Raw genomic sequence first — 21,210 nt, 5'->3', positions numbered from 1 at the left:
AGCAGAAAACACGAGCGGAATCGCCCTCTAACGCGTGGTCACCAGGGCCGCGGGCACGCCCCGATCACAACGCGCACACAAACCGCAGGGCCAGAAAACACGAGCGGAATCACCCTCTAACGCGTGGTCACCAGGGCCACGGGCACGCCCCGATCACAGCGCGACTGCAAGCAAGTCGGGCTGCGCCTTAAAGTGTAAACAGTCGAGAAGAACGCCACGGCGCCTTCGGTCACCACTCGTCACAGAAAGGCCTGAGTGCTCAGACGCCCCACACCACCCGCCTGGCTACAGACGTGAGGCCACTTCCTTCCCTAACAACCCCAGGTGTGCGGTGTTGGGTGCATCTCCGCGCTGTGCGAGCCCAGGGGCTAGATGGGGAAGACCCTGCACCTGGGGCCTGAAGGCACAGTCTAGGGCCCCCGGTGTCACGGCCACCCTGCGAGCTCCTGGCAAGGCCGCCACTGCATTTAGATGTGTTTACAGAGCCGCACGGGGTAACGTGCTCGTCACCTCGGCTAAGCTGTTGTCTACAAACCATTCACGGGACTCAGGCGGCACCCACGATGCCCCGACTGCAGAGGCCGGTCCCTCTCCAAGTCAGGGCTTTGAGCCTGAGCCGTGCGGCTCCATATTCAGCTGCAGAAGCAAACCTGGACACCAATGTGAGCCTTAGACCCCGGGACAGGTCTCGCAGGAGGATCTGCAGCCCAGGACCCGCCAAGGGCCCCACACTGCGACCACCGGAGCAGATCTCACGGCGAGCGCCCCAGGTGGCGCTGACGCCGTGGCACCGCACGGGCACTTTATATCAGGAGGACGCACCCCACACCCTGCCCGGTGCCTCGGTGCACTTCCACACGTGCCACACACGCAGCACGCACACGGCCCCTCCATGAGCTCACGCCATGGCGCCAGGCGGGGCACACACCTGCATGGCTGCGGGCACTCACCGTCATCCAGGTACAACTGGTCCAACTCTTCAGGCTCTCGCTTGACCGTTACAGGAATAGGGGCCAAATTAGGACTACCGTCCTCATGCACCTCTGGCAGCAGCCGTGGCCCGGCAGTCGGAGACTCGTCCCTGCGGACCGTGGACGGCAGGTGCTGCGGGCGGCCCGTGGCGGGCGGGCACGCTGGGCTGCAGGGCTGCAGGCAGGTCGGCTCTTGGGTGGCAGGCGGGAGTGGAGGAGAGGGGCTGCTGGGGCAGAGCGAGTGTTCGAGACCAGGGGGGCAGCTACTGCTTGGAGGCGCACTCACCTGCTGTGGCAGCAGGGCCGGGGGTGGCTGCCCGGGCGAGCCGGGGTGCGTGGCCACTGGCCTGGGCACGTCCTGGACGGCGGGGGCCTCTCCGGCCGGCTGCGGGAGTCCGAGGTGACAGTGGCCCGGGCTGGCAACGCCCTTGGTGTAGGCAGCGGGAGAAAGGTCGTGGAGCTTGGGGCTCACGCCAGGGGCCGCTGGCATCAGGGTGCTTCTCTGCGGACAGGGCGGGAAGCCGGCCACGAGGCAGGAGCTGGGGTCGGGTGGCATCGCGAGCTGCTGGCTGTAGTATGGTCTTGGGAGAGGACTTAACCCCTGGCTCACCGGTCCACAGGTTGGAGCAGGCTCATAATCATCAGTGGGTTCTGTTTTTATAATTGGAACTGTGAGAAGGAAAAAAAAAATTAAATAAACACAAGTTGCGAATGAGTGTGATCAGGCAGGCTTGTGGCTGGGGCACCCTCCGCAAAACCAACAGGGCCCTGACTGGGTCCCTCTGTCTCCTGCCTGGTTCTCCCACCCCATTAAAAAAAAAAGGCGTGAGTCATCGGCCGAGAGAGTAGCAGCTGGTTCTAATACTGGCGAGGACTGTTTTCCTTGGAACCTCCTGCAGCACTAACGTGCTATAAAAGTCCACTTGCAAACTGCAGTGGGAGTCCTGGACCCAGGGGCCTGTGGGTTTGCAGGAATCAAAGCGAAAGTTTCAACGTGGATGCACGACTGCATTTCTGCTCCCGACACTCGGTTTGATAAATGTCTGCACATTTGGTAAACTCGAACACAGAACAAGACGGCTTTCAGGAGTCAGTAAAAATCCAACTGCAAAGGTGAACGACTGCTCCAGGAGAGAAGCCGTCCGTCACTGCGAAAGAAAAACACTGTCATGGAGGCTGGACTGCCTCCACGGTGCTCCTGAGTCCCCTTCTAAAGGGACAGGCTGTGTGGAGGCTGTGACCGGGCAGCCTTGGATGGAACAGGGGGCTCCCGAGTTTCTAGAGCTTTCTCCCACCCAGCCCTCCCTAAAAGTCCGGGGCTTTGGGGAAGAGCCCACAGGGCGGGTGCTGGGTCCCCAAGGCTGCTCCGCCAGGCCCGGGCCAGAGCCGACACCGGCTCCCAGCCCACGCCCACCCCAGCCTTTGTGCCGGCTTCTGTGGGGGTGTTGGGAAGCAAACAGGCAGGGTGTGCAGTCAGCAGGAGCGGCGAGGCGGATCCCAGCCGGCATTCCTGCGGTTGCTGTTTTCCTGTTGGTCTCAGGCCTCTCGTGCTACTTAGAGGAGACATCAGACGGCTCAGTGGCTCTAAAGCTCTCACAATGGCGCACATACATTCCTAACAGACGCGTGGTGCCACTCTGAGCGAATGCTACGCAGACAGCAAGCTGTGAGTGAGTCTCCTCAGCCTGTTTTCTCCTCCCCGTGGGCTGCACACTGGTGGGTTTTTGGCAGCAGGGTCGGCCACAGGGAGGGAAACTCCCCTCCTGTCACCACCTGGGGGCCTATGTGTGGCCCCCAAAGCCAGTACACAGGCTCCCGGTGCAAACAGTCGCCACCACAGAGAGCCTGGCAGCCTCCTGCAGTAAACAAAAGCATTTCCACAATTCGAGAGAAAATATTTAGCCCCGGGCTTGAGCCCGTGAGTCCATGCAGCTGTTCCCCGCCACGGCTGGGTGCCGAGGAGTCCACCAGCAGCTGCGAACGATGGAGACGGCGTTTTCCTGCAGCTCGAGACGCCGGAGCACCTGTGCCACGTGCGGCCTCCCCTGCAGCCGCCCTCTTCCCCCCCCGCACAGGTCCCGGCGGTCGTGAAGGCAGGCGCGAGTCATCCATGGTGGCCAAGCCACCTTCCCGCCACACTGGAGGCATCACAGGGACTGACCCATATGGGCCGTTCCCAGCTGTAGGATCTCACCAGCCTGAGTCCGCAGGAAGTCAACCAGAGCTTTCCACCCAGGGATTCCGAGTGGAGTTGCTGCATTTTGTTGCTTTTGTGCTGACTTTTCAAGTCTCTACTTTCATTCACTCATTCAAATCTTTCTATCATCCACCCTCTGAGTAGAAAGATCGAGGTTTAAAGCGTCCGCCCTGCACACTGAGTGGGGAGATCGAGGTTTAAAGCGTCCGCCCTGCACACTGAGTAGAAACATCGAGGTTTAAAGCGTCCGCCCTACACAGAGTAGGGAGGCTAAGGTTTTAGAGGGGGTGGGTGACCAGGAGGTGGGGACGTCCAGGAGGCAGGAAGAAAATCACGGGGCCATTGTGATTCCAAGGCCTTCCCAGGACGCAGCCTGCAGCTCACTGACCAGGGCCCATAAAGCCACACTCTGCTGAGGGTCGTGCCAGGCCTTCCTGGGGCTCTGCAGCCCAGGCATTCCCAGCCTTTGGCCTGGGGCAAGTCCAGCCACAGTGAACTCGGGGAGTGCAGCCCAAGCTGTGAAGCTTGGAGGATGAGGCCAGGGGCTGCCTCTGCAGTGGTGCCCAGGGCAGGGGAGGGAGAACGGGTGTGCTCCCCCCGCCTCGTCAGCCACCCCACCCTGCAAGTGCCGCCGAGGTCACACTGGAATGACACCCCAGGACCAGGTCACCCTGGAATGACACCCCAGGAACCAGGTCACGTTGGAGTGACACCCCAGGACCAGGTCACGCTGGAGTGACACCTCAGGACCAGGTCACCCTGGAGTGACACCCCAGGAACCAGGTCACGCTGGAGTGACACCCCAGGAACCAGGTCACGCTGGAGTGACACCCCAGGAACCACGTCACGCTGGAGTGACACCCCAGGAACCACGTCACGCTGGAATGACACCCCAGGACCAGGTCACGCTGGAGTGACACCTCAGGAACGAGGTCACACTGGAGTGACACCTCAGGAACGAGGTCACGCTGGAGTGACACCCCAGGACCAGGTCACGCTGGAATTACACCCCAGGAACAAGGTCACGCTGGAGTGACACCCCAGGACAAGGTCACGCTGGAATTACACCCCAGGACCAGGTCACGCCAGAGTGACGCCCCAGGAACGAGGTCACGCCGGAGTGACGCCCCAGGAACCAGGTCACGCCGGAGTGACACCCCAGGACCAGGTCACGCCGGAGTGACACCCCAGGACCAGGTCACGCCGGAGTGACACCCCAGGAACCAGGTCACGCCGGAGTGACACCCCAGGAACCAGGTCACGCTGGACTTACACCCCAGGACCAGGTCACGCCGGAATGACACCCCACGAACCAGGTCATGCCGGAATGACACCCCAGGAACCAGGTCACGCCGGAATGACACCCCAGGAACCAGGTCATGCCGGAATGACACCCCAGGAACCAGGTCACGCCGGAATGACACCCCAGGACCAGGTCACGCTGGAGTGACGCCCCAGGACCAGGTCACGCTGGAGTGACACCCCAGGACCAGGTCACGCTGGAATTACACCCCAGGAACCAGGTCACGCTGGAATTACACCCCAGGAACCAGGTCACGCTGGAATTACACCCCAGGAACCAGGTCACGCTGGAATTACACCCCAGGAACCAGGTCACGCTGGAATTACACCCCAGTACCAGGTCACGCTGGAGTGACACCCCAGGACCAGGTCACGCTGGAATTACCCAGGAACCAGGTCACACTGGAGTGACACCCCAGGACCAGGTCACGCTAGAATTACACCCCAGGAACCAGGTCACGCTGGAATTACACCCCAGGAACGAGGTCACGCTGGAGTGACACCCCAGGACCAGGTCACGCTGGAATGAGACCCCAGGAACCAGGTCACGCTGGAATTACACCCCAGGACCAGGTCACGCTGGAATTACACCCCCGGACCAGGTCACGCTGAAGTGACACCCCAGGACCAGGTCACGCTGGAATTACACCCCAGGAACGAGGTCACGCTGGAGTGACACCTCAGGAGCAGGTCACGCTGGAATTACACCCCAGGAACCAGGTCATGCTGGAATTACACCCCAGGACCAGGTCACGCTGGAATTACACCCCAGGAACGAGGTCACGCTGGAATTACACCCCAGGAACCAGGTCATGCTGGAATGACACCCCAGGACCAGGTCACGCTGGAATTACACCTCAGGAACCAGGTCACGCTGGAGTGACACCCCAGGACCAGGTCACGCTGGAATGACACCCCAGGAAACAGCTCATGCTGGAATGACACCCCAGGAACCAGGTCACGCTGGAATGACACCCCAGGACCAGGTCACGCTGGAATGACACCCCAGGAACCAGGTCATGCTGGAGTGACACCCCAGGACCACGTCACACTGGAATGACACCCCAGGACCAGGTCACGCTGGAATGACACCCCAGGAACCAGGTCACGCTGGAATTACACCCCAGGAACCAGGTCACACTGGAATTACACCCCAGGAACGAGGTCACGCTGGAGTGACACCTCAGGAGCAGGTCACGCTGGAATTACACCCCAGGAACCAGGTCATGCTGGAATTACACCCCAGGACCAGGTCACGCTGGAATTACACCCCAGGAACGAGGTCATGCTGGAGTGACACCCCAGGACCAGGTCACGCTGGAATTACACCTCAGGAACCAGGTCATGCTGGAATGACACCCCAGGAAACAGCTCACGCTGGAATGACACCCCAGGAACCAGGTCACACTGGAATGACACCCCAGGACCAGGTCACGCTGGAATGACACCCCAGGAACCAGGTCATGCTGGAGTGACACCCCAGGACCACGTCACACTGGAATGACACCCCAGGACCAGGTCACGCTGGAATGACACCCCAGGAACAAGGTCGCGCTGGAATTATACCCCAGGAACCAGGTCACGCTGGAATTACACCTCAGGAACCAGGTCACGCTGGAGTGACACCCCAGGACCAGGTCACGCTGGAATTACACCCCAGACGTCACATTCAGTCGTCACAACAGTGAGGCCCACTGGGCCCCATCTGAAGACAACGCTCAAGCCTGGCTCACGAGGGTCTATGGCTCTCAGTCCCGCACATTCTCCTTAGTTCGGGCTGAAGAAGGTGCACAGGCCTTGGCAGCGCCGAGGCGGTTCCTGGGAGGAGGACTCTGCCTTCAGCCACCTGAATGTGGCTGCCTCTGGGGCTGCCCTCTTCAGCTGAGGGTTCACAGATGGGGCAGAGCCCCAGGACTGCCTGTGCAAGTCAGGGGGCTGCAGAGGACACGGCGCCCTCATGTTGATTGGGAAACCCTACCCGCCTCGTTTTACATTAGAAAATTGAATATCTGGGCCCTGGGCTGCAACACTTTTTTGAAGGGGTGGCAGGAGGCGGTGTCCGTGGAGGGTGGGGCTCTAACCGCTGTCTGGAGACTACAGAGCTGGAGTCATTTTCATCCAGGGCACGCGTCTTGCCTTAGGCCATGGCGCCCCCAGCTCTGCGGACGCAGCTGGGCCTCAGGAACTGCCCCTTCCTGCTGTTCCAGCTTGAAGCATGTGGTAAATCCAGAAATGATGAGTCCACGACAAAGCCAGACGATGGGGAGCCCCAGAGGCAGGGCTTGGCCAAGTGCTCTCTGTGAACTCAGGCCTGCGCCTTTGAGAGGTGCAGGGGTCACTGGAAACAGGCCCAGATGTGGGAGTGAGACGCCGGTGGGCACCCACATCTCTCCCGCTCAGAAGATGCTGGTGTCCCGAATGGCCAAGCCTCCATTCTAAATTAGGCTGGTAATTTTCAGAGTTTAGATCTTAAGCAAAAGCACATGGCTGGAAGGTTAAATTAATACCCTGTTGGGATCCTCTCTCCGCTGCTCGGGATTTTCAGCCAGGGCCCAGAAACATGGCCAGGCATGGGGGCCAGTGCGCCTCTTCTGTGAAGTGTCCCGAGCGCTTTAAAAACTCTCACCCACCAGCTCTGGCGGACACTAGAGGCCCCGTGCACAGCTGTCCTGTAAATCAGCCGCCCCACGGGCCAAGGCCGGCTATGCCCGAGAGCCGCTGGGGCTGGGGCAACCGGGTGGCGTCTGCTGCTGCTGGCTGGAGAACGTCAAGAACACGGCTCAGACACGGCCCCGTTTAAAACCGCGGTGGTACCGGCATTAACCCCCGCATCTCTCCAGCCACTTGGATTCTTCCTGGGGAAGTCCTGACCTAGGATGGTGGTGGCGAGGGGCACAGGGCTCTGGGACACGCGACCCACCTCCCCAGGATGCTGGCGGCCGGCAGTGGCATCGGGACGCACGGGCTGCTTGCCCTGCGGGTTCGGAGCAGGCCCAGCACTGATGCATCCACCACCCCCAGGGGCAAGCAGAAGGCCCAGTGGACGCTTCGCTGGGACCCCGCCAGGTTGGCAGCTCCTGTCCCCCCACCCACAGGCAGGCGCTCCCTCTCTTTCTGAAGCCTGGGGCTCCAGTCCACAGAGGCTGTGGCAACACGCTCCTCTCAGGAATAAACTCGTGTGCCTGCCCACTGCTTCTCTTCCGCCCAGAGCTATTTGCAGGGAGCTGGGGGCAGCTACTTGAAACCTGGGATCACCGCACGTGCCCCACCCACGACGGCATCTTGTGAGTCTGGAGAGCCAGTCCAGGTCCCTTGGCCCGGAGCTGGCAGCATGAGCTGCGACGTGGTCACCGTGCTTGGAAGGTGGCCTGGGCTGACCCTGCAGGTGCGGGCCCTGTTCCTGCCACAGTGCCCCTCCCTGGGCTGGGGTCTCCACGCGGCTTCTCCCAGCCTTGCCCATGAAGTCTGGCTCAAGTCTGGGGTTGGCCGGATGGTTTCTCAGCCCTGGCAGCGGCGTCTTGTGCCATCCCAGCTGCTCTGAGGCTGCCTCCCACCGGGACCGGGCCTTCCCCAGGCGACTGCCCCATCTCCCTGTCCTTGCCCTAAGGGGCACTGCCGCGAAGCACAGCCAGGGACAAAGGGCGGTGGACGGCAGGGATGCGCGAGGCACCCGGCACCCACAGGGGACGTTTCAGAATGGCCCCGCCTGACCCGCTGGCCTATGAGGATGCAGCGGGATGTTCTCTGCTAAGTCATGTCCTGGAGAGCTGCAGCCTTCCCAATACAGAGAGAAGCTGGAAAGTGCAAACTCACCTTCACAAGCAAAGGAAAGCCACACGGCTGCTTCCACACCCCAGCATCTAAGAAGCTTAAACACACGAACATACTGCACCTGGGCTTGGCCTAAACTGTGCTTTTTGTGTGGGTTTCAGAGAAGATGGATGCCTGCTCTGTAAATCAGAGCCTCGTAAGACGCATCCTATCAGTGAGAAAGTGAGTGAGCGTCTGCAAGAGCGCCTGGGAGTCTCACCCGTGGAGGGGGGCCGCACAGGCCCAGTTCACGCTGTCGCCCGTGGAGGGGGCCGCACAGGCCCAGTTCAAGCTGTTGCCCGTGTTCCGGGCTCACCCTGCACCAGGCGGCCTCTGGCTACCTCCTGATATCAGCCATGAGGGGCTGGGGTAGAGGTGGCGAAAGGATGGGCTCAGAAAAAGGGCAGCTCATTTTCAGGCTAAGCAACGGTGCAACAGAAACACCAATCACCTGAGGGTGAGTTTATGAAACTCGTTACAAAGAGCAGAGTGTGGAAGGCGAGTGCTGGCCTCAGGGCCGGCTGGCTTTACAAAGCATATTCCCACAGAGCAGGCTGGCTGCGGTGTCCATGGCAGTCCCGTTGTCCATGATGGCTGCCCCATCGTCCACGGCAGCCCCAGCGTCCATGGGGACTGTCTGTGGAGGCGGCGCGCAGTGGTCAGCGGCGTGCAGAGCTGACAGGTAAACCGTCCCCGCAGACCCAGGCCTCACGCTTGCATCCTCCGTGGAAGGCACGGAGGGCCCGTCCCATGCCTGGTGCTGTTCTGGGGCCCAGCTTCTCTCTGATGCCGCTGCAGAGTCTCTGCCTCGGTAGCAGTGACGTTGGGAGCTGAGTCCTGGAGGGGGGCTTCCGCCCCAGGTGAGCACGACGTTTCCAGGCCCCATGCAGGTGCCAATTCTGGCCACAGACGCAGGCAGTGAGCTGGGCAAGCCTCTCCTCCAGGACCTCCCCTCCCAAAGCCCCCGCCACGGCCATCGTCAGCCAAAGAGCATTCGGCACAATCCTGGCCTCTTAAAGAACCCCCAAGCCTGGAAAATGGGCTGCCATCCCTACCCGGTAACAGGAGCCAGGACATGAGTGGGCTTCACCCACCGCAGCCCCTCGAACGGTTCCTGTTCTAAAGCCCCAGCCGGGTCTATGCAGCCCCAGGGCAGGCAGAGCCCCTCACCCAGGGCAGACCTGGGGGCTCATCACAGCTCTTAATGGCCCGGACCACATCCTCCTCCCAACGTAGTCCCCTTGGCTGCCTTGGTGTGGCCTGGCTCCCGGGGGACAGCTGGGGTCTTCACGGCTCCCAGATCAGGGCCCCCTTCTGCTACAAGACAGAGGTGACAAGATCTGAGAATAAAAATCGGCATGAGCAACACGGTGGCAGGCACAAGCCTGCCCCACCTGTTGGCTTCCTGTGTGGTTGGTGCCCGGCAGCTCCTGGCTCCTCGGGGGCTCTGTCTGCAGCACAGGGAGCACCTGGGGGTGGGCGGGGGGGGGCCTGGGGGCAAGAACGGGGGCCTGGGGATGGGCAGGCAGGGGGGCAGGGGGCAGGCTCAGCCCTGTGGCTTTAGACAAGTGGGGTCACTGCTATGGACGGACTCGTGTCCCCTCAACCTCATGTTGAAGCCCTAACCCCCGTCCGCGTGACTCTACTTGAGAGTGGTGTTTGCAGGAGGTAACTGGGGGTTAAACAATGTCATCAGGGTGGGGCCCTGATCCAACGGGACTGCCGTCCCACAGGGAGGGAGAGACAAATCGCCTGTCCTGCCATGTGAGGATATGGCAGGATTTTGGCTGTCTGCAACTTGGAATGGTCCTCACCAGAACCCGACCGTACCAGTCCCAACCTCGGACTTCCAGCCCCCAGAGCTGTGAGAAATCAATGTCTGTTGTTTACAAGGTGCCCAGCCGGTGGTGCTCCACTATGGAAGCCCCAAAGACTGAGACAGTGCCCCGGACCCCCTTCTTCTGCCAACAGTACGGCCGGTGGTGCTCCACTATGGAAGCCCCGAAGACTGAGACAGTGCCCCGGACTCCCTTCTTCCACCAACAGTACGGCCGGTAGTGCTCCACCATGGAAGCCCCAAAGACTGAGACAGTGCCCCGGACCCCCTTCTTCCGCCAACAGTAACATCTGGTCCCCAGGTGGCATTGGGGGTGGGGAGATCTAACGCTGAGCTGCCTGCAGGCTGCAGCTGCTGTGCACAGCAAAGAATGATCCCAAGACAGTTCCCTGCTCCCCCATGCCCACATTTTTATGCAACCTTGTGTTCAGCTTGAATTACTCTACCAGGGATGCACTACAGTACTGGACAAAAGAGGTTTTGTTCAAAGTCTAAACCCCTGGAAAACAAAGATCAGATTGTCTTCTGTTTGCTGTATGACAAGAAAGTCCAAGTTTTGCCATCAACATAAACAACCAGGAATGACACCTCCGGGGCATGACTTTTCTCAAACAATGAAAGAAAACAGCGGATGAAGCTGCCTTATCACCCATCCCTCGAGGCTGAGAGGCATCATTTCTCCTTGTTCAGAGCCAAGATCAGTTTCCAGAGCAGGTGAGGGATCCACGGCCCACCATGGGGTAAATCTGCACCAACCAGGCACCGCCTGATGTGGGAGACAGAGAAGGGTCCTTCCGAACTCCATCCGCCTTTGGGAATTTGTGCTCTCTCACCGACTCTTCACTGGAGTTTCTGCTGAAGCGCGTTCCAAGGTTTCCAGGAAGGCATGATCTTCCGGAGTCACGACCACGTGAGTCTGGTGAGTATTCCAACCATGCACGCCACAGACCTCCAGGCTGAAACTGCAGCTCCGTGGAGGCTGACAACCGTGGCTAACCCTGGCCATGTGTCCAGGACGGGCCCAGATGCTTTTGTTCATGATCTCACTTTGCCCCCACACCCATCCTGTGTGTCGGTCGGGGTGAGAGAATTCCCTTTCCCTCAGGTTTATCACGTCGACCCCGAGCAACATCGGTGGGGGGCTTCCTACACATACAGAAGCGTGAAAACAGACGCAGAGCTCAGGTACTTGATGGGGGTCTCAGGTGGCAGCGACGGGGCCAGGACAGCACGGCAGCGAGGGGAAGCGCAAGTGGGGCCTCAGGCTGTGTGGTGGCCCCGTGCTGCTCCAGGGCACAGTGAGGTGGGATCTGTTGCCCAATTAGGCTGATGACAAAGGACGCTCCCACAGACCACACAAGCCAAAACACATCGGTCGGCTTTCGCCAATCCTCGCCCGCGCTGCCCGCCGTGTTCTGTGGGGCGCGTGACTCACGCTCCCAGGCAGCTGTGGAGCCAGGCTTTGCCATTCCGGCTGGAGCCACAGAGCCACGGTGGGGCAGCAGCATGGCCGACGCCGCCCGGAGGCGGCTGCACGTGGACAGGCGGATCCCTCCCAGGCGCGCGGCTGGCGTCGCCAAGCTCAGGGCGCCCCTCTTGCCCCACGCATGTCCCAGAGCGCAGGCTTCCTGGCACCCAGCCTCCCCACTGACTCACACCTCCTGGTTTGTTTTTGGTGGCCCGTGGCCCTTAGATTTCTCAACAAGCCCCTTCCCGCCCTCTCATCCCATCTCAGGCTCCCGGCCCCACCCCCCTTCTGGAGCCAGACTCGCCCAGCCCCAGGTGCGCCCGTCGGATGCTGAGCCCTGTGGCTCTTTCACAGAAGTCTGGATCCTGACGCTGGTTCCCTAATTTACTCCCCTCATCTCTGATTTCTGCAGGAGCAATCTTCCACCCCAAATCCCTCCTGCTTTAAAACACGCTCTGAGGACACGCACGGCCTGAGCGTCGGGTGGCTAGGATGCCTGGCGTCTTGCTGGGGGTGGTTTTGGCGAGCACATCTCGGACCTCCCTTTCAATTGGAGCCCTTCTTCTGACTTTTGGGGAGGTCTCCTGGGAGGCCTGGTGGGGCCAGCACCCCACAGCATGTGAGAGAGAATTCCTTTCCCTCAGGTTTACAACGTTGACAGTGAGCGTGAGAACACGCTTCCCTCACAACGTCGACAGTGAGCATGAGAACACGCTTCCCTCGCAACGTCGACAGTGAGCGTGAGAACACACTTCACTCAGGTTTACAGTGTCGACGGTGAGCATGAGAACACGCTTCCATCGCAACGTCGACAGTGAGCGTGAAAACACCCTTCCCTCACAACGTTGACAGTGAGCGTGAGAACACGCTTCCCTCGGGTTTACAACGTCGACGGTGAGCGTGAGAACACGCTTCCCTCGCAACGTCGACAGTGAGCGTGAAAACACCCTTCCCTCACAACGTTGACAGTGAACGTGAGAACACGCTTCCCTCAGGTTTACAACGTTGACAGTGAGCGTGAGAACACGCTTCCCTCAGGTTTACAACGTCGACGGTGAGCGTGAGAACACACTTCCCTCAGGTTTACAACGTCGACGGTGAGCGTGAGAACACGCTTCCCTCAGGTTTACAACGTCGACAGTGAGTGTGAGAACATGCTTCCCTCAGGTTTACAATGTCGACAGTGAGCGTGAGAACACGCTTCCCTCACGTCGAGTGAGTGTGAGAACACACTTCCCTCAGGTTTACAACGTCGACAGTGAGCGTGAGAACACGCTTCCCTCAGGTTTACGTCGACAGCGAGCGTGAGAACACGCTTCCCTCAGGTTTACGTCGACAGTGAGCGTGAGAACACGCTTCCCTCAGGTTTACGTTGACAGCGAGCGTGAGAACACGCTTCCCTCAGGTTTACAACGTCGACAGTGAGCGTGAGAACACGCTTCCCTCAGGTTTACGTTGACAGCGAGCGTGAGAACACGCTTCCCTCAGGTTTACGTCGACAGTGTGAAAACGCTTCCCTCGCAACGTCGACAGTGAGCGTGAGAACACGCTTCCCTCAGGTTTACAATGTCGACAGTGAGCGTGAGAACACGCTTCCCTCACAACGTCGACAGTGAGTGTGAGAACACGCTTCCCTCAGGTTTACAACGTTGACAGTGAGTGTGAGAACACACTTCCCTCAGGTTTACGTCAACAGTGAGCGTGAGAACACGCTTCCCTCAGGTTTATGTCGACAGCGTGAGAATACACTTCCCTCACAATGTCGACAGTGAGTGTGAGAACACGCTTCCCTTGCAACGTCGACAGTGAGTGTGAGAACACGCTTCCCTCAGGTTTACAACGTCGACAGTGAGCGCGAGAACACGCTTCCCTTGCAAAGTTGACAGTGAGAGAACACGCTTCCCTCAGGTTTACGTCGACGGTGAGCGTGAGAACACGCTTCCCTCAGGTTTACAACGTCGACAGTGAGCGCGAGAACACGCTTCCCTCAGGTTTACAATGTCGACAGTGAGCGTGAGAACACGCTTCCCTCAGGTTTACGTCGACAGTGAGCGCGAGAACACGCTTCCCTCAGGTTTACGTCGACAGTGAGCATGAGAACACGCTTCCCTCAGGTTTACGTCGACAGCGAGCGTGAGAACACGCTTCCCTCAGGTTTACAACGTCGACAGCGAGCGTGAGAACACGCTTCCCTCAGGTTTACAACGTCGACAGTGAGCGTGAGAACACGCTTCCCTCAGGTTTACGTTGACAGCGAGCGTGAGAACACGCTTCCCTCAGGTTTACGTCGACAGTGAGTGTGAAAACGCTTCCCTCGCAACGTCGACAGTGAGCGCGAGAACACGCTTCCCTCAGGTTTACAATGTCGACAGTGAGCGTGAGAACACGCTTCCCTCACAACGTCGACAGTGAGTGTGAGAACACGCTTCCCTCAGGTTTACAACGTTGACAGTGAGTGTGAGAACACACTTCCCTCAGGTTTACGTCAACAGTGAGCGTGAGAACACGCTTCCCTCAGGTTTATGTCGACAGCGTGAGAATACACTTCCCTCACAACGTCGACAGTGAGTGTGAGAACACGCTTCCCTTGCAACGTCGACAGTGAGTGTGAGAACACGCTTCCCTCAGGTTTACAACGTCGACAGTGAGCGCGAGAACACGCTTCCCTTGCAACGTCAACAGTGAGTGTGAGAACACGCTTCCCTCAGGTTTACAACGTCGACAGTGAGCGCGAGAACACGCTTCCCTCAGGTTTACGTCGACAGTGAGCGCGAGAACACGCTTCCCTCAGGTTTACGTCGATAGTGAGCGTGAGAACACGCTTCCCTGGGGTTTACGTCGACAATGAGCTGAGAACACGCTTCCCTCAGGTTTACAATGTTGACAGTGAGCATGAGAACACGCTTCCCTCGCAACGTTGACAGTAAGCGTGAGAACACGCTTCTCTCACTTGCCGTCTGAAGAGCGAGGCAACCGACAAAAACTGAAATTTAATAAAAGCTGTCTCCCTCAGGTGGTTGTGGGGCCTTCAGTAGAACAGGGATGAGGGGCCCACAGGCCGCTGTTCACAGGTGGGGCCAGCCCAGCTCCAACCCCAGAAGCACTCGGCAGCTGGGCTCCCAGAATTCTCACCCCTGTGGCGACCTGGAGCGTGGCGCAGGCCACGCTGTGGGCTGGAAATGTCAGCATCATCCGCTCTGTCTGAAATCAGGTAGGACTTCTAAGCTGCGGCAGAGCTGGGCTGAAACATCAGTGTAGGGGTCCCGGCTTGACCCCCACAAGCTGCAGAAAGGGGAGGCCACCCTGGTTCCTGTGCAGGACATGGCATGGAGTGTGGGTCGTCTGCGTTTTAGGCCCTTGGAGGGCGCACGAGGGGTGCCAGGAGAATCTCTGCTTTGAGAACCTGTGACCAGGCCCTGGTGCGTCAAGGTGCCCACAGCCGACACATGGAAAGTCTCTTAAGGCTGAAACCCAGAGCGCCGCGAGGCCAGGGCTGACCTGACGTTGTCAGGAGCTTGGAGGCAGCCGCCACGGTGGCAGGATCAGATGAGGGAAGGCGGGAGCCATGCCTGGGTGTCTGAGGTGGGCAGGTTTACTCTGCAGTGAGAGCCGAGCTCAGGCCCAGCCCCAGGGTGTCTCCAAGTGTGTGGGGTGAGGGGAGGGGGAGGGGAAGAGGCCACAGGTGTTCAAGGCCCACCCAGGCTGTGCTTTTGGCCAATGGCAGCGAAAGGGTGATTTGGGGCCGCTGAGCATCTGCAGAGACCTCAAGAACTTCACTGTTTCAGGATCAAGCTTTACATGCAGTGGACTTGGACAAAGTGAGTTGGAAAGTCCAGGGAAAAGGCAGAATGGGAAACCCCTGGGAAGGAGAGGCTGCCGGGCTGAGCAGAAGGGCATGGAGGTCGGGCGGCGGCCCAGAACTGCTTGTCTGCAATCAGGCGGATCCCTTGTGGGGTGCTCTGAGCCCCTCAGCTCACACAGCCCCAGCTGAGCTTACTGAGGGCCTGGGCCACGCCACCTGGAGGGGGCTTCCTAGAGGGGCCGGTTCTGCTGCCTGGGAAGTGCCAGCAGAGAAAGCCCCCAGCTGTCGACCCTGGGTGGTGGGATCTGTGCACGGGGACCTCAGTTTCACAGCCGCCCCCCGCCCCCCCACGGCTCACACCCTAAGCAGCTCTCTCCCGTGATGATCGCTGGGGTGGACCCAAGGCCACAGGACCCCGGCTCCCTCTGTACCAACACCTCTCCGATGCCACAGTTATTGCTGGATTTAATAATCCATTGCAAACAGGGAAGTAATGGAATCTATTCCCCTTTCTACCCCTTGAGGCAGAAACAGATTCTCAAGCCTAGGTCATCGTTGCAGGGCCAGCAGAAGGGCTGGTTAGTACCGGGGGAGGGAAGCGCGTCTTCCCTTCTTCGTGACGTTTGAGTCTCCAGCTGGCTCCTGTCTGGGCTCGGGGCCCACGCCCACCCCTGGTGAAGGACCCCCAGATCCCGAGGCAGATCTGTTCCGACACCTTCACACCCTGGATGTCACGTTCTGTGGTCAAAGCTGTTTCTGTGCCTGGGTCATCACAGCAGCCACTCCTTGTCACGGGATGACCCTCAGCTGGACCGCGTGTCCCCTGAGGAAGGGGGCTCTGGCCACGAAAGGGACCCCCACAGAGGCAGGGCTGGCTGTGTGTTCCCACAGGGACCTAGGGCCGGGAGCAGCTTCTCCTGGGCACTGATGGGGGAAGAGCTCCGTGTCCCCAGCTCAGGGGCCCTGGGAGCGTTTCCAGGTAACCGACTAAAACGACTTCAGACAAAAAGACCTGGCATTTGTCATGTTTTATTTTCTCGTTTAAAAAAATACTGACTTTGGTAGGTAATTTTGAGTTTGTAACTTGGTTTTCTTTCTCCAAAGTGCCCGCAGCCCCCCACGAGACAGATTCCCGGCCCTGCCTGCTTGTATCTGGGGGCACAAGTGCACCCCTCACACAAGCCCCAGGCCACGCGGACGCCGCCTTTCTAACCAGACCTGGGCAGGGTTCCCACGTTCCAGGTTCGCCTCTCTCCTTTAATGCTGACGTGCTGGAATAACCTCTCGGAACTGCCAACCTTCCTGGCACCAGATCATCCCTCAGCCCTCCTAACGCGCCTTCCGGGAGATTAAATTCAGGCGCAGTTACACAAAAACAGTGACAGACAAGCCGCTCAGGAAGCCTCTCTGTGGGCATGTGTGTTCCAGCCTCTAACTGCAGACAACATTTTCACTTTCCTCACCGGGCAGCACCCCGGGATGTCAGGAGGGGCGGCCGGCAGGACTCCCCGAGGGCTATGCCCACTCCGTTCATGGGGCTCATACATTCTGCTGGGAACTTCTCCCCATTTAATGCCTGCCCCCCGCCCCAGGGAGGGTGAAGGGAACTCTCCCTCTGGGCCCCATCACAGACCATCAGCCAGAGGTGTCAGCCCCACCTGAGCCCGGGGGCCCCCTGCACTCAGATGCCTGATTCCCGGAGGCCGACCACTGCGACCTTCTGACTCAAAAGGAGACGTGAGGCCCCCTGAAGACGGGAGGCGGGGCCGGGACAGGGGCTGCGGACTGAGCTCATCTTCGGCCGAGTCATCGGAGGATGCCTTTGGCACTGAGACGAGGAGTGCGGGCGGCTGGTGGCCAAGGCGTGTCCCCAGCCCGCCCCCCACAAGCACCGGACACCTCGGGCACCTGGATTCCAAATGCTTGGAGCTCTCGGAGGGGCCTCCCTGTGCTGCCTGTGGGGATGGCAATTTTGAAGGAAAACCTACAATGAGACTTGACTTTACAAACATGTACGTGAAATGAATTCCACAGCTGGAGTGTAAGTGGGTTCACTGTTGTCACCTTGTGCATTTCAACGGCACATTTCACAACCCTAGGAGTCCGCCCCTCACTGCCGTGACCCCCGGGCATGCAGACCCGAAGCTCATCGGCACAGCGGAAACCTAGACTGCTAACGACCCCATGATGACGGTGTAGAAAAGGGAAAAAGCCAAGAGCAGCTTTGAGTCAGGGCGGTGCTTGCTAAGCAGCTGTCTTCCACCCACACCCACCCGTCCTGCCTCCACCTCCAGGGTCGGCAGAAGCAGAGCTGGCAACTATCTCTCGGACCACATGGCAGAAGCCATCTGAGCTGGACCCCAAGACACAGATGCACAGCACGGAGGACGCAGGTCCTGGAGCGGCCTCGGCGTCCTCAGACCCAGCCGGGGTTGCAGAGGCAGGAAGTGCAGCGGGCACGCGGGACGGAACACGGATACCTGGGTGCTGGTTTCTATTCATTATTTATTTAACAACCACACTGACAGTGGCCTCGAGGTAGGCCCAGCGTCAACACTGGGGATCTCGCCCTGCGGCAGCCTGGGGGCTCTGCCTGAGGGGCTCACAGTCTGGTGCAGGTTGCGGTCGCAGCCCCCAGGACCAGGTGGGGTGACAGGGAGCCGGGGAGCCCCTGGGGGCTGGTGGGGCTGGTCAGTGTGCTTGTGGGGACCTGGGATGGTCACCCAGGGACTATGGTGCTACGTCCAGGAGAGAAGAGACGACGGAGGCAAAGAGAGGGAGAACGGGCGAAGGCTGGTGCCCAGGGTGAGCCTGGGGAACCTGGCCTGCGTTGAGCCATGCTGGAGCAGATGGGGGGTGGAGGGTGCAGCCGAGACACTGGGCAGGGGGTGCAGGAGAGATGTCCACGCTGGGCACAATGCTGAGAGGGGAGCCGGGGCCAATCGAGGCAGGAGTGTGGCTGGTAGGACAGGACGGCCGGCTGCCAGGTGGGGTGTGGACTGGAGGTAGCAGGAGCGGCTCAGCCCCACCGGCTTCATGCTGTGGCCACGGTCCTGGGGGCCGCCACCTCCCACCTGTGAAGGGCAGGCACGCTCCCCGCACGCCCCTTCTGCCTCTGAGATACGTGATCTGTGCTAAAGTCAGTGCTGCTCAAACCCACGGTGGGGACTGCCGCATGCTGAGCAAATAAGAAAAAAATTAATGCACTGCTCTGGAAAGCAATCCTTCTCTATAAGGCCTAGGTTTTCTTTAAAACATTCAATTTCTGGTCAACCATGCTTGAAGTTTAATTAGGACTCAATCATTATATTTTCAGAAAAAGATAAAATATTTTCTTCTGTAAGATATATTGTACTTTGTTCCAAGAATGGGCTGGACTCACTAAGTGTGGGCGGCACAGACCACGTAAACCCCAGGGGGGTCCAGAGCGTGAGGCCCTTCCCCACAATCCCGGGGGTCCCAGAGCGTGAGGCTCTTCCCCACAATCCCGGGGGTCCCAGAGCGTGAGGCTCTTCCCCACAATCCTGGGGGTCCCAGAGCGTGAGGCCCTTCCCCACAATCCCGGGGGTCCCAGAGCATGAGGCTCTTCCCCACAATCCCGGGGGTCCCAGAGCATGAGGCCCTCCCCACAATCCTGGGGGTCACAGAGCGTGAGGCTCTTCCCCGCGAGGGCTGGGCTGGGGGCTGCACATCACCCCTGCAGCTCTGTCTCACAGACACTCTTAGGGTACAGCGACTTTACAGCAAAACCCCATTTTCCACATCTTGAGAGGCCTTTCCAGAGCTTGCCTGATAAAAACAAGGAGTCCCAACAGTTTGGTGTGAACGTGGGGATTCAAGGGCTTCCTTAGGATCTGGTCTATTACAAATGCTGTTTACATTCAGAGAAAATGGAAACCTTCCAAAACACCCTGATTTTACTAAGAGAACGCAGCTGCTTTTGCAATTAGCGCCCAGTGTGTAATTTCCCTCTCAGATGACAGGAATCTCTGCAGTTTTTAGAAAAAAAGCAATATAAAAAGATTATTGATGTTAGCTAAGCTTACCCAAAATACAGTAAAATTCAGGATGACCGCTAACTGTCCCCTCCGAGCTGTGGGGAGTGGCCTGTACCCACAAAATACAGTAAAATTCAGGATGACTGCTAATTCTGTCCTCTCCGAGCTGGGGGGAGTGGCCTGTACCCACAAAGGAAGCCGGGGATGGCGTGGGGGACGCCTTTCTCTTCTACTGGTTCAGGGACTGAAGAAACAAACTGGATGGTATTTTCTTTAAGAAAACACCCTAAAGGTTAAAAAGGTAAGATGATTTTTTTTTTTTTTTGTATGAGTGAAAAGGAGCCATTCCCACGGCGGGTGAGGGGCAGGCAGGTTGAGGAGAAGGTGCCCCAGCCTGGATGCCCGTGGTCCCAGGAGATGAAGTTACCCCTGGAGAAGTGTCTCGGGGACGTCCGCCCAGCACAAAGCTCATTCACCATCCTTAAAGACCACATCAGGACTACAGGCTTAAAAGCAAAGTTTATTCCTAAAGGTGCCTGCAAAATAGCTATACCTATTTGCCTTTTCACCGTAAGCAGCTTTAGGGTGCAAATGCACACCAGGACCCCCTCAGTTTTTTGGAGCAGAAGAGCCATGTTTTCCCCTTGGCTGTTATACATTCGCAAGAAGCAAAATAACCGTGACTATCTGAGTATGCAACCCCCGCCCCCCACCCCCAACAGGGATCAAGGAAAATGCATCCGAAGCTTCCCTTTTCCTTTCCTTTTCAGGGCATCGATGGCTCGGTCTCACTAACGGGACATCACACAGTTAAATGTGCAACACGCCACGCTGCTTTACGGCGACGTCGTTTCTGCGTCTTTAGAAAAAGCACCCCACGCGCTCATGTTCACGGCTTACGGTTAGAAAGATGGCGTTACCGTTGGCGGGAAGGTAGGTGAAACGCTGGTACTGGCTTCGCTTTCTCTTCCCGTTGCAGACGTAGAAACTGACGTGAACGGGGCTGGTTATCCTCTGATTCCGAAATGGCGGGATCTCAACCACCAGAGAATTCTACAGGAGAAGGGCACACAGGAGGCACAATCAGCACCGGGCAGGCGATGGCTGCCGCGCCACGGCGGCCACACGGCAACCCCGCGTTTCCACGGCGGCCACACGGCAACCCCGCGTTTCCACGGCGGCCACACGGCAACCCCGCGTTTCCACGGCAGCACAGGACTGCCGTGACGGTAAACTCCCAAGCAGCCACCTGGGCGGTCCAGAAGCAGCTGATGACAGCCCTGGATGCTCTGTGCCACCTGCACACGCGTGTGGACACGCACGCTCACAGGGAAGGGGCTGCCCTTGGCTTCTTGCACACCCAGGAGCCGAGAGGCTTCCTCAGAGCAGCACAGCAGACAAGACCAACCTAAGACTGAAATCTTGTCAATATGGGGAAAGAAGCCAGGAAAAGAGAAGCTGTAAACAGAACTGGGACCGGGTGCCTGAGGGTGGAGGTTGCCCGGGGCCACCTGGGCAAGGGGACTGGCGGGGATGCAAAAGGCTCTGCCTGCTCTGATGCCAAAGGGTTGGTGACCTTCAGAAAACGACCCAAGGCTCCGCCGCCAGCCACTGTGTGATGGAAGTGCTCGGTGGCCCAGCACCTGCTCAGGTGACTGCAGCGAAACCCAGAGGAGCAGGTGCTTCCTGGAGACGCGGTCTCTGGGGAGGGCCTGTGTTTGTCACATTTGACGATGGCCGAGGCCCTCAGTCAGACCCCAAATTCACTCCAACTGAGGAAGAGGAGGCAGGCCCTGACCCCCGCAGACCCCGGGGTGGGAACAGC

At 59.0% G+C, this 21,210-nt stretch overlaps 1 protein-coding gene and 1 long non-coding RNA gene across 14 annotated transcripts in view, besides 1 other annotated feature; one reads left to right on the top strand and one right to left on the bottom strand.

Annotated features, from left to right (window-relative positions):
• The window catches only part of NFATC1 (nuclear factor of activated T cells 1), a 133,394-nt gene that overhangs the window by 41,436 nt on the left and 70,748 nt on the right, over positions 1-21,210 (bottom strand). For 4 of the 12 annotated variants that reach the window (NM_172390.3, XM_017025783.3, NM_001278675.2 and 1 more), the window contains one exon: positions 17,873-20,438. In NM_172390.3, coding sequence (NP_765978.1) covers positions 20,247-20,438 — 192 coding nt within the window. In that variant the 3' untranslated portion in view covers positions 17,873-20,246. Of the gene's footprint in view, positions 1-950; positions 1,641-17,872; positions 20,439-21,210 lie in introns of those variants that run through there. The other 8 variants (NM_001278669.2, NM_172387.3, NM_001278673.2 and 5 more) reach the window with 3 other exon arrangements.
• Positions 6,542-18,569, top strand: LOC107985162 (uncharacterized). 2 transcript variants are annotated; one of them, XR_007066425.1, is made up of 3 exons: positions 14,713-14,796; positions 16,492-17,428; positions 17,682-18,569. It is a non-coding gene; the product is annotated as an uncharacterized LOC107985162 (long non-coding RNA). The 2 variants fall into 2 exon arrangements; XR_001753518.2 differs by having other exon boundaries at positions 6,542-14,796; positions 16,492-18,569.
• Positions 17,358-17,861: an enhancer, noted in NCBI's record as "H3K4me1 hESC enhancer chr18:77230027-77230530 (GRCh37/hg19 assembly coordinates)". NCBI's record gives its function as "activates a minimal SCP1, AML or CMV promoter by ChIP-STARR-seq in primed H9 embryonic stem cells {active_cell/tissue: H9 hESC(primed)}" and the evidence as "EXISTENCE:reporter gene assay evidence [ECO:0000049][PMID:30033119]".

Source organism: Homo sapiens, chromosome 18 (assembly GCF_000001405.40).
Source record: "Homo sapiens chromosome 18, GRCh38.p14 Primary Assembly".
Lineage (NCBI taxonomy): Eukaryota > Metazoa > Chordata > Mammalia > Primates > Hominidae > Homo > Homo sapiens.
This window is presented reverse-complemented; position numbering and strand designations above follow the sequence as displayed.